This window comes from Homo sapiens, chromosome 8 (assembly GCF_000001405.40).
Source record: "Homo sapiens chromosome 8, GRCh38.p14 Primary Assembly".
Classification (NCBI taxonomy): Eukaryota; Metazoa; Chordata; class Mammalia; order Primates; family Hominidae; genus Homo; species Homo sapiens.
The window spans coordinates 66,760,796-66,773,950 of NC_000008.11; the positions used below are offsets into that span (position 1 = coordinate 66,760,796).

At 39.6% G+C, this 13,155-nt stretch overlaps 2 protein-coding genes and 1 pseudogene across 3 annotated transcripts in view; 2 read left to right on the plus strand and 1 right to left on the minus strand.

Annotated features, from left to right (window-relative positions):
- Window positions 1–13,155, plus strand: part of C8orf44-SGK3 (C8orf44-SGK3 readthrough) — a 194,427-nt gene that overhangs the window by 93,200 nt on the left and 88,072 nt on the right. The gene's annotated exons all lie outside the window — the stretch shown is intronic.
- SGK3 (serum/glucocorticoid regulated kinase family member 3) overlaps window positions 1–13,155 on the plus strand; it is a 149,242-nt gene that overhangs the window by 48,015 nt on the left and 88,072 nt on the right. The window lies entirely within an intron of this gene.
- PTTG3P (pituitary tumor-transforming 3, pseudogene) lies at window positions 6,534–7,239 on the minus strand (annotated as a pseudogene). Its single transcript, NR_002734.2, has one exon. The product of NR_002734.2 is annotated as a pituitary tumor-transforming 3, pseudogene (transcript).

Below are 13,155 nucleotides of genomic sequence, written 5' to 3' on the forward strand. Positions count from 1 at the left end.
TTTTGATATATAGCAGAAGTGCTTTATGTATACTTTCTGTTTTGTCACACAGGACATTATAAAGAAATGTACTAAGCCGGGCGTAGTGGTGCATGCCTGTAATCCCAGCTACTTGGGAGGCTGAGGCAGGAGAATCGCTTGAACCAGGGAGGCAGAGGTTGCAGTGAGCCAAGATCTCACCATTGCACTCCATCCTGGGCAACAACAGTGAAACTCTGTCTCAAAAAAAAAAAAAAAGGAAATGTACTCAAAGGTCAAGATTGAATAAAATTAGTAATCTTTACTGCTTTATCAAGGACATTCCTTTTAAATTTTTATTTAATTTTTAGAGACAGGGTCTTACTCTGTTGCCCAGGCTGGAGTATAGTAGTACCATCATAGCTCACTATAACTTCAAACTCCTGGCCTCAAGCAATCCTCCTGCTTCAGGTTTCAGCCTCCTGAACAGCTGGGACTACAGGTGCATGCCACCATGCCCAGCTAGACATTCTTAAGTGAACCTGATTTTTGGGTTTTTTTGTTTTTTAACTACAAGTGATGGTGAAGAATACAATGACTACAAGAAATGTGGTTTCACTGCCTGGATTCCTGCCAAGTCACCAGTAGTTCTAGTCACTATTGTTTTTGTACCATCAGTGCAAATGTCAACACAGAGAAAAAGGCAAATAACATCTTTGTGTTATTATAAAAATAGTTTGGGCTGGGCATGGTGGCTCACGCCCCAGCACTTTGAGAGGCTGAGGCGGTCAGATCACAAGAGGCTAGGTGTTTGAGACCACCCTAGCCAAAATGGCAAAACCCCGTCTCTACTAAAAATACACAAGTTAGCTGAGTGTGGTGATGCATACTTGTAATCCCAGCTATTTGGGAGGCTGAGGCAGGAGAATCACTTGAACCCAGTTGGCGGAGGTAACAGTGAGCTGAGATTGCATCTCTGCACTTCAGCCTGGGTAACAGAGTGAGACTCTCTCTAAAAAAAAAATAAATAATAAATGTTTTAAAAGAAAAAAACCCACCTTTTTATTATATAAAATTTCAAACATAAAAAAGTCATCTGAATAGTATAATTAGCCTTCATAAGCCTACTGCCCCGTTTCAACAGTTAGCTAATTATGGCTAAATCTTATTGCACTCCCCTGCCCCTACACACACATAATTTTGAATCAAATCCCAAACATCAGATTGTTTCATCTCTAAATATTTAAGTATTAGCTCTATAACATAGACTTTTTAGACTCTTTTTTTTTGAGACGAAGTCTCGCTCTTGTCCCCCAGTGCAGTGGTGCAATCTCAGCTCACTGCAACCTCTGCCACAGGCGCCTGCTACCATGCCCGGCTAACTTTTGTATTTTTAGTAGAGACAGGGTTTCACCATGTTGGCCAGGCTGGTTGTGAACTCCTGACCTCACGTGATCCACCCACCTTGGCCTCCCCAAGTGTTGAGATTACAGACGTGAGCCACCGCGCCCGGCCTATAACAGACTTTTAAAAAACATAACATCAGCTGGACGTCAGGAGATCGAGACCATACAAACCAACATGGTGAAATCCCATCTCTACTAAAAATACAAATTAGCTGGGTGTGGTGGCATGTGCCTTTAATCCCAGGTACTCGGGAGGCTGAGGCAGGAGAATTGCTTGAACCAGGGAGTTGGAGGTTACAGTGAGCCAAGATCGCGCCACTGCACTCCAGCCTGGCGATGGAGTGAGACCGCGTCTCAAAAAACAAAACCAAAAACAAAAATATAACATCATCACACTTAAAAAAAACCCACTGATTTTTTTCTTTTTATTTTTATGATTTCTTATTATTGGCTATCTAGTCATGTTTGAATTCTCAAATTGCCTCATAATTTTTTTAGTTGTTTAGTCTAATCAAGATCTAAATAAGATCCATACAATTGGTAATTGATATCTCATTTTAAGTCTTTTATTCTGTATATCTGCTGCCTTTCTTTTTTCCCTTATAATTTATGTAATAAAGAAACCAGGTCATTTAGCCTGTAGGATCTCCCACTAAAGTTTACTGATTGCATCCCTATGATGTCATTTGACATGTACTTCTGACCCCTGCAGTCCCTATAAATTGGAAGTTAGAGCTAGAAACTTAATGAGATTTAGATTCAAGTATTTTGGCAAGAATACTGCATAGTGATGTGTTTTTCCATCAGGAGGCATAAAATGTTTGGTTAGTGCTCTTTTTATGAGATAAGCAGCCATTGATCATCATTGCCTACGTGCATTAATTCATTAATTAATTCATTGCAAAATGGCAGCATTCTGCCTTTATGCATTACCTGGAATTCTTCTGTAACAAGAAACTTCTCCTCATTGACTATTTGGTTACCTGGAGTGCAGTTTATATTGGAAGGCAGGATATAGGCTTGATTCTTATCTTTTATTTACCAGTTTTCAAAATAATGAGTTAGTTCCTTATGGTTATCGAAAGGTAAACCATGAGGTTTGTTTTCTATTTTTTAGTATCTTTGTAAATTCCTGGATTTACATGTTCGATATATTTCAATTCATAATGGTGATTCTTTTTTATGATCGATTTTGCCATCTTTGAATTAGTTTCTGAGGTTTTTCACATGACTCTGGTAGTCATTGATATCATACTGGAAAGTAAGGAAGTTAGGACATTCCAGGCTCATCTTGTACATTTTCTGCTGCAGGTCTGCAATCAGCCAGTTCTCCAAGGAGCCCTAGTTCATATTAGTGGGAAATATTTAGGGACCATAATCTTGGTACTAGGGGTGTTCATTTCCCTAGATTGGTCACTGATTTTAGCTTTTTCCATGCTAGAGCTAGGAAATACATACATATAAATATATATGTGTATTTATATGAATATACATATATTTATGTACACATAAAATATACATATGTATATTTTAAAGATAAAATACAACATATATTCATACTGATACTTCCAATTGAAATTCAGTACTACAGGTTTTTTTGGTTTTTTTAAACCCAAGTTCATCTGTATCTCCTTTCTCCTACATCAGAATTCCTGGTTCTTAAGGATAGGAACATAATTACTAATTTTCTTCCTTTTTAAAAAGTTATTATTACTGTTATTATTATTTGAGGCAGGGTCTTGCTCTGTTGCCCAGACTGGAGTGCAGTGGCACGATCTTAGCTCACTGCGGCCTCAACCATCAGGGCTCAAGTGATCCTCCTATCTCTCAGCCTCCCGAGTAGCTGGAACTACAGGCATGTGCCACCACACCCGGCTAATTTTTATAGAGACAGGATTTTACTGTGTTGCCTAGGCTGGTCTGGAACTCCTGGGCTCAAGCGATCTGCCCACCTTGGCCCCCCAGAGTGCTGGGATTACAGGCATGCACCACCACACCTGACCCATTTTCTTTATTTTACAACATGAACATGATCTCATATAATGATTACCTGAATAGAGTTTAAGATTTTTTTATAATTTTTTTTTTACAGTTCTTTTGTCCTTTGAGTTTATTCCACTAGGGAAAGATATCCTTTATTTTGAAGTTATTTGAAGGAATTCCCCTTATCAGTTAGGTCAATTTATTTAATTTTGGGAAGGAACCATGTTAAATGTTTCTGCTTTTAGTCCTTATTATATTTCCCTCCACATCTCTAAATAATAAAATTATATTGTACCTTTTCTGAATTTAATTTGTACATTATCTTTTGTTTTTGTTTTGTTTTTTGAGAAAGGGCCTCACTCCAGTTGCCCAGGCTGGAGTGTATTGGTCTGCTCTTGACTCACTACAGCCTCAACCTCCTGGGTTCAGGTGATCCTCCCACCTCAGCCTCCTGTAGCTGGGACTACAGGCATGCTCCACTACGCCTGGCTAATTTTTTTTTGTTAATTTTGTCAGTAGAGATGGGGTTTCACCATGTTGTCCAGGCTGGTCTCAGGCAATCCACAGCCCTTGGCAACTACCAATCTGTTTCCCGTTTCTATGGAGCTAAGTGTCTGTAACATTATGCTAAATGAAATAAACCAGACACCAGAGGTAAGAACTGTATGATTCCATTTATGTGGAATATAAATATAAATATAGCATAATGTTTTCAAGGTTCATTCATTTTGTAGCATGTATCAGTACTTCATTCCTTTTTATGGCCGGGTAATATTCCATTGAATGTATATACCACAGTTTATCCATTCATTGGCTGATGGACACATGGGTTATTTTCACCTCTTGAGTATTGTGAACAGTGCTGCTGTGAACAAACATGTGCAAGTAAGTATTTGTTTGAATACCTATTTTCAGTTTTTTGGGGGTATATATCTAGAAGTAGAATTGCTGGGTCATACAGAAATACTGTGTTAAACTTTTTGAGAAACCTCAAAATTGTTTTCCACAGCAGCCACACCATTTTACATTTTCACCACCAATGTACAAGGCTTCAACTTCTCCACATCCTCACCAACACTTAGTTTTCACTTTTTTGATTATTGCCATCCTAGTGAGTGTGAATTGGTATCTCATTGTGATTTTGATTTGCGTTTCCCTAATGACTAATGTTGTTGAGCAACTCTTCATGTGCCTGTGGCCATTTGTATATTTTCTTTGCAGAAATGTCTACTTAAGTCTTTTGACCACTTTAAATTGGATTCTTTGTCTTTTCTGTTGAGTCAAACAAGTTTTTTATGTATTCTGGATGCTAGACTCTTATGAGATAATGTGATTTGCAAATATTTTCTCTCAGTATTGTTCAATTTGCTCTTATTTTTGTTGTTGGTGAGTTGAAAGTTGAGGTCATTGATTTGAGATTTTTTTTCTTTTCCAATATGGGCAATACCTTCTAAGTCCTAGTTTAGTGCACTCCACAACGTTCGATATGTTATTTTCATTTTCATTCAGTGCAAAATATGTTCTAATTTTCCTTTCAATTTCTTCTTTGACCCATGGGTTATTAGGGCTGTATATTTGGATTCAAAATATTTGGATTTTGGCCAGGCATGGTGGCTCACGCCTGTAATCCTAGCACTTTGGGAGGCCGAGGTGGGTGGATCACCTGAGGTCAGGAGTTTGAGACCAGCCTGACTAACACGGTGAAACTCTGTCTCTACTAAAAATACAAAAAATTAGCCGGGCGCCATGGCGGGCACCTGTAATCCCAGCTACTCAGGAGGCTGAGGCAGGAGAATGGCATGAACCTGGGAGGCAGAGCTTTCAGTGAGCCGAGATGGTGTCACTGCACTCCATCCTGGGTGACACAGCAATACTCCGTCAAAAAAAAAAAAAAAATTGGATTTTTCCAAATGTCTTGCTGTTATTGATTCCTAATTTAATTTTATTATAGTTAGAGAACATACTTTGTGTGATTTGAATTGTTTTAAATTTATTGATTTTATGGCTCAGAATATGGTCTGCCTTGGTGAATATCTTGTGTACACATGGAAAGTATATATATTCTATTTTGGGGTGTTCTACAAATATCAATTAAGTTGGCCGGGTGTGGTGGCTCACACCTGTAATCCCAGCGCTTTGGAAGGCTGATGTGGGTGGATCACTTGAGGCCAGGAGTTTGAGACCAGCCTGGCTAACATGGCAAAACCCTGTCTCTACTAAAGATACAAAAATTAGCTGGGTCTGGTGGCGTGTGCCTGTAGTCTCAGCTACTCGAGAGGCTGAAGCTGGAGAATTGCTTGAACCTAGGAGGCAGAGAGGTTGCAGTGAGCCGAGATTGCAACTGCATTTCAGCCTGGGCGACAGAGCAAGACTGTCTCAAAATATAAATAAATAAATAAATAAATAAAATCTCAAGATGGTTAATAGTGTTGTTTAGGTCTTCTATATACTTGCTGATTTTCTCTCTACTTGTGTTATTATGAAAGGGGTTTTGAAACTTCTAACTATAATTGTGGGTGTGTCTATTTCTTCTTGAAATATTTTCAGTTTTTGTTCATATATTTTGAAGCTCTGTTATTAGGTACGTAAACATTTAGAATTGTTGTGTCCTCTTGATAAATTGGCCCCTTTACCATTATTAAATGACCTTCTCTTTCCACGGTAATATTATTTGCTTTGAAACGTTCTTGATATATTCATATAGCTGCTCTAGCTTTCTTTTTTTTGAGATGGAGTTTTGCTCTTGTTGCCTAGGCTGGAGTGCAGTGGCGCGATCTCCGCCCACCGCAATCTCTGCCTCCCGGGTTCAAGCAATTCTGCCTCACCCTCCTGAGCTGCTGGGATTACAAGCATGCACCACCACACCTGGCTATTGTATTTTTAGTAGAGACAGGATTTCTCCATGTTGGTCAGGCTGGTCTCAAACTCCCGACCTCAGGTGATCCGCCTGCCTCAGCCTCCCACAGTGCTGGGATTACAGGCATCAGCCACCACACCCGGTCAAGTTTGTCTTTCATATTGCTATTTGTTTTCTATTTATCTGTTCTTCATTTCATTTTTCTTCATTTTCTGCTTTATTTTGGATTAAGCATTATTATCCCATTTTATGTCCTTTGTTCCCTTATTAGTTATAACTCCTGTTTTTCCTTTTAATGGTTATTTTATTTTAGGATTTAAGTATATATCTTTTTTTCTGTTAAACAAATAATGCTTTATTAATAGAAATATACACAAACTCTAAAGCACTAAGAAATTTAAATATCTATGTCAGAGCAAACAGGTGGCAATTCAACATCCAGGGTCAACAGAATGCTTAAAGGAGACTGCAACAGATTGGATTTCCATGGTGGAGAGGGCATCTTCAAAGGTGAAGGGGGGCCCAGCTGAAACAGCTTTTCAAGCTCTCTCTCCTCATCAAGTATCATGAGAGGCACTTCACTCAAGGGGAGATGTGCAATCTGGTGCTCTTCAGGCAGGTCAAAACTCTCGAAGCCTAGAGGATTGAAGGGAAATAATTTTTCTATTTCTGGATAGCCATCATCTGAGGCAGGAACAGAGTTTTTTGCTTTAACAGTCTTCTCAGTCATCTTTTTGGCAGAAAAGCTTGGCTGTTTTTGTTTGAGGGGTCCATTGGTCTTTACTGACTTTTCTGTAGCTCTGTTGACAGTTCCCAAAGCCTTTCTGGTAGCTTTAGGTAAGGATGTGGGAGCATCGAATGTTTTGCCAAAACATGATATTGAAACTTGAGATCTCCCATCTAAGGCTTTGATTGAAGGTCCAGACCCCAGCTTCAGCCCATCCTTTGTAGCCACAAGGATGCCTGGTTCTTCGTTTTCCTTATCAACATAGATCAGAGTAGCCATTCTGGATTATTGCCGCTCTCAACCAGATTTAAGTATATATCTTTAATTTATTACAGTCTATCTTCATTTGAATTATACCACATCACTTATAGAATACTTACACTTATAGGATATATCTTACAATGGTATACTTCCATGTCTCTAATGCTAGCTTTTATAATACTGTTGTCATATATTTTACTGATACATTAGATATAAACCCACCATAAGTTATTACTATTCTTGTTTGTTAACTTTTAGAGATTTAAATTATTAAAAAATCAAAATATGTTTAGTTCTGTTGTTACTATTTCAAGTGCTCTTCATTTCTTAGTAGATCTTTATTTCCAGAAATCTGGAATAACTTTTCTATGTCTGAAGGGCTTCCTTGAATGTTTCTTGTTGTATGAGTCTACTGGTTATGAATTTTTCAGCTTTTTTTTTTTTCAGTCTGAAAAAATCTTTATATAGCTTTACATATCTTTGATTTTGAAGGATATTTTTGGTAGGTAAATAATTTTAGGTTGACAGATTTTTTTATTCAGTACATTATAGATGTTGCTCCACTTCTTGTACTATTTATTTATTTATTTATTTTGAGATGGAATCTTGCTCTGTCACCCAGTCTGGAGTGCAGTGGTGCCATCTCAGCTCACTGCAACCTCTGCCCCCCAGGTTCAAGTGATTCTCCTGCCTCAGCCTCCTGAGTAGCTGGAATTACTGGCGTGTGCCACCACACCCGGCTAATTTTTGTATTTTTAGTAGAGTCAGGGTTTCACCATATTTACCAGGCTCGTCTCGAACTCCTGACCTCAAGTGATCTGCCCGTTGCCCTCCTCAGCCTCCTACAAGTGTTGAGATTACAGACATGAGCCACTGTGCCCAGCCACTTGTACTATTTCTGATGAGAAATATGCTGACATTTTTACCTTTGTTCCTCCATATATAACATGTCTTTTCTTCTGGCTGCTGTTAAGACTTTATCACTGGTTTTTAGTACTTTTATTGTGATGTGCCTTGGTGTAATTTTCTTCATGTTTCTAGTGTTTCAATTCATTGCACTTGTCAGATCTGTGAGTTTATAGTTTTCATCTAATTTGGGAATATGTCAGCCATGATTTCTACAAATGTATTTTCCTATCCCATCCTCCAACACCATCTTTATCTTCTCCTTCAGGGAATCTAATTGCAAGTATATTAGGCTGCTTAAAGTTGTCCACAGCTCATCGATTCTCTTTACCTTTCTCTTTTTTTTTTGAAACAGAGTCTCACTCTGTTGCCCAAGCTAGAGTGCAGTGGCACAATCTCAGCTCACTGAAACCTCTACCTCCTGGGTTCAGGTGATTCTCATGCCTCAGACTCCCAAGTAGCTGGGACTACAGATGTGCGCCACCATGCCCAGCTAATTTTTGTATTTTTGGTAGAGACGGGATTTTGCCATGTTGGCCAGGCTGGTCTTGAACTCCAGACCTCAAATGATCCACTCGCCTCAGCCTCTCAAAATGCTGGGATTATAGGTGCGGGTCACCGCACCCGGCCTTAATTCTTTTTTCTGTCTATATTTTAGAAAGTTTCTACTGCAGTCTTCAAGTTTACTAATCTTTTCTTCTGTAATGTCTAATCTTCTGTTAATCCTATCTGGTGTATTTTCCACTTTAGAGATTATTGTTTTCATCTCTAAAAGTTGGATTTAGAAATTTTATGCTTTCTTTGTCTCTACTTAACTTTTTGAGTATATTACTATTGTTATTATTATTATTATTATTTTGTAGAGATGGGGTCTCCCTATGTTGCCCAAGCTGGTCTTGAACTCCTGAAATGAAGGAATCCTCTTACCTTGGCCTCTCAAAGTGGGATTACAGGCGTGAGCCACCAAGACCTGCCTACATTACCATTATAATAACTGTTTTAATGTCCTAGTCAGCTAATTCTAACATCTATGTCAGTTGCAGGTCAGTTTTAGTGATTACTTTTTTTGTTTGTTTTTGAGACGGAGCCTCGCTCTGTTGCCCAGGCTGGAGTGCAGTGGCGCAATCTCCGCTCACTGCAAGCTCCACCTCCCGGGTTCATGCCATTCTCCTGCCTCAGCCTCCCGAGTAGCTGGGACTACAGGCGTGCGCCACCACACCCGGCTAATTTTTTTGTATTTTTAGTAGAGATGGAGTTTCCCCGTGTTTGCCAGGATGGTCTTGATCTCGTGACCTCGTGATCCGCCTGCCTCGGCCTCCCAAAGTGCTGGGATTACAGGCGTGAGCCACCGTGCCCGGCCCCTAGTGATTACTTTTTATCTCATTATTGGTCATATTTTTCTGTTTCTTTGCATGCCTTGTAATACTGAATGCCACATATTCAATATTGAATGTCAGACATTGTGATTTTTTTCCTTGCTGAATGCTGGATATTTTTCTATTCTTACAATTATGCCTGGATTTTGATTTGAGATAGAGTTAAATTACTTGGAAATAGTTCAATCCTTTCAGATTTTACTTCCATGTGTTTTTTTCTGTTTTTTGTTTGTTTGTTTGGCAGGACCCAAGCAGTATTTATTCTAGGGCTAATTCCTCCCCAGTCTAAGTAAGGTAAGACTCTTCTTAGTATTCTACCTGCATTGAGTTGGGAACGTTTGTAGTCTACCTGATGGAACAGCCACTATTCCTGGCCCTCTGTGAGTTGCCAGTGCTATTCTGTCTAATGCTTTCATATGTTTTTTTCTTTGCTGTACTTTTTATAGTTTCTTCACATGCATGCACTGATCTGCGTTGTCAAATTCTCAGGGAGAACCTTCTGCAGGTCTCTAGGGTTCTCTGTGCACTTAACTTCCTCTTGTATACTGTCTTGTGAACTCTAACCATCTTGTTCTCCCTGGATTCATAGCCCCATCCTCTCAACTCAGGTAGTCTGCTGGGCTCTCCTTCATTCCACTCCCTGTATCATGGTGTGTAAGGTATCTGAAAGTAGTAAGCTGCGGGTAAATTTTGTGTGCTTAGGAATCATTTTCTTTCACAGCCTGATACCCAGTATCTTGAAAACAGATGTTTTATATATTTTTTCTGTCTCTTTTTCGTTTTTCCTTTTGGTTGGTTCAGGTGGGAGGGTCAATTTGGTCCTTGTTACTCCATGTTGGCTGGATTCAGAAGTCCCCTAAGGCCCCACTCTTAATAGTCACTTCACATTTTGAGGAGAGGTAGAGAAAAGTTTCAACAGTCTATTACCAATAGCCTCTGGTACAACCCACTCTATAAATGAAGTGTGATTGTTATTTAGTCTATTTAATGCTTCTTAAATCTCTAGAACATTATAAAGGTTTGCCGTGACTAGTGATTTATAGATTGTTTGGGACAGACTTCAGAACTCTGGGGCCTCCCTGAAATGTACTATTGACATTTTCAAAACACAAGGGGCCATTGATAGATTGCAAATCAGTTTTCACTCTTACTTGGTAGTCATTTTGCAAACTTGGTTCTGTTTGTATTGTGCCATCTGGTTAAGGTTGCAGTTAAGGAAAATTTACTCTCTAAAGACCTTAATAGGACATAGAGCTTGCTAACATAGGGAATTTACTGTGATTCAAGGGTTTATTTCTAGAACACTGAAAACCTTTCTAGTCCAACTCCAAGAAATGCTGTGTGATTCTTTTTCACTTATTCTTGAGGATTTCTTTGAAATTAAAAGAGGAAGCTCTCCCTATCTTATTTCCATGAAAAAGAAAAGACCAGTATTTTAGTATTTAGCGAAGGAGAGAGAGGGCTTAAGGAAAGTTGAAAATAATCATGGACTGATTAATATATTTTTAAGCATTTACTATGGGTATACCACTTGTTTGGGCAATGAGGTGAAGAAGAATAGGTAGATTACTTTTTATTTACCTCCATGAATCTCAAAGACTTAGTCTTCCAAAAAAGTCTTACTTAATAATAATTTACTTCTCCATTTTTATGAATCAGTCATATGTAACTGCCAGTCAAAGCATTTGGTTATCATGAAGTAACTGGTGTTACTTCAGTATCATAATATTTCAGATAAAAATAGAATCTTGCTGTTATAGGTAATCTGAACAGCCTAATTATGGATGAATCTATAATTTCTTTTAGCCTTCTTAAGATACTGAATTTTTTTTTTTTTTTTTTTGAGATGGGAGTCTCGCTCTGTCGCCCAGGCTGGAGTGCAGTGGTGCAATCATGACTCACTGTAGCCTTGACCACCTGGGCTCAAGTGATCCTCTCACTTAAACCTTCTAAGTAGCTGGGACTAATTAGCCAGGGACCATGTCTGGTTAATTTTTTTATAGAGACGGAGTCTCTCTGTATTGCTGCGGCTGCTCTCGAACACCAAGGCTCAAGAAATCCTCCTGTCTTAGCCTCCCAAAATGCTGGGATTATAGGCATGAGCCACTGTGCCCAGCAAGATAAATATTCTTTTTTTTTTTTTGAGGCAGGGTCTCTCTCTGTCACCCAGGCTGGAGTGCAGTGGCATAATCTTGGCTCATTGCAGCCTGTACCTTCCAGGCTCAAGTGATCCTCCTACCTCAGCCTCCCAAGTAGCTGGGACTACAGGCGCGCACCACTACACCTGGCTATTTTTTTTTTTTTTTTTTGAGACAGAGTCTCGCTCTGTCGCCCAGGTTGGAGTGCAGTGGTGCAATCTCGGCTCACTGCAAGCTCTGCCTCCCGGGTTCACGCCATTCTCCTGCCTCAGCCTCCTGAGTAGCTGGGACTACAGGTGCCTGCCACCACGCCTGGCTAATTCTTTTGTATTTTTAGTAGAGACAGGGTTCCACCATGTTCACCTGGCTAATTTTTTTAATTTTTTTGTAGAGATGGGGTTTCACCACATTGCCCAGGCTGGTCTCAAACTCCACTCTTGAGCTCAAGTGATCTGCCTGCCTCGGCCTCCCAAAGTGCTGGGATTACAGGTGTGAGCCACCATAACTGGCCTGAGATAAAGATTCTAAATAGCAGAAAACAAAACAAAGTAGCCCTGCTACATGGTAACGTGAGTGGTGCAGATCCTAAGTATTATAGCATTTTATTGCATACAGACATCCCTGAGCTGGGCTACTGTAGTCAAGACCGGTAGCTAGGACTGAGAAGAGGGTATTCCAGCTAGGAGGCAGTGGGTTTGCATGTACAGTGGGAGGGATGTTAGTTGTAAGTTGTGGATTCTGTACATTGAGGAGACAGTCTGTCCAACAGATGAGTACACAAGAGAGTGAGTTGGAGATTAGGTGGGAAATGTAGGTTAGGATCAGATCAAACACCCTGAGTTCTTTGAATCTGTTCTTTATACAGAGATGGCAGTGAAAATGGAAGAGTCATTGAAGACTCTAAAGGAGAAAGCCAAGGACCTGGTGACCAAACGTGAGGACTGAGAGGGAAGAGTCAAAGGTTTTGAGTTAGGGCAAGAATGATACAGTATTACCCCCTTATCCAAGGGGATACCTTCTAAAACTCCCAGTGGTTCCCTGAAACTGCAGATAGTACTGGACCCCATCTAAACTATGTTTTTTCCTATATATACATGCCTACAATAACATTTACTCTCTAAATTAGGCACAGTAAGAGATTAACTACCATAACTATTAATAAAATACAACAATTATAACAATATGTCAGCATCACGACTCTTGCACTTTGGGGCTATCATGAAGTAAAATAAGGGTTCCTTGAACACAAGCACTGTGACACCTCTACAGCTGACGTGATAATGGAGATGCCTACTAAGAGACTAGCGGGTGGGTAGCATCTGCAGCATGGACAAACTGGACAGAGGGAGGCTTCACATTGAGGGTAGATGGAGTGGGATAGCGTGAGATTTTATCACACTGCTCAGAACAGCACACCATTTAAAACTCGTTTATTTCTAGAATTTTCCATTTAATTTTTTCAGACTGTTGGTCAAAAAAAGAAAAGGGAAACTGTTGATAAGGGTATGTGTCGGGGACTGGTGTACTATTATTATTACAAACA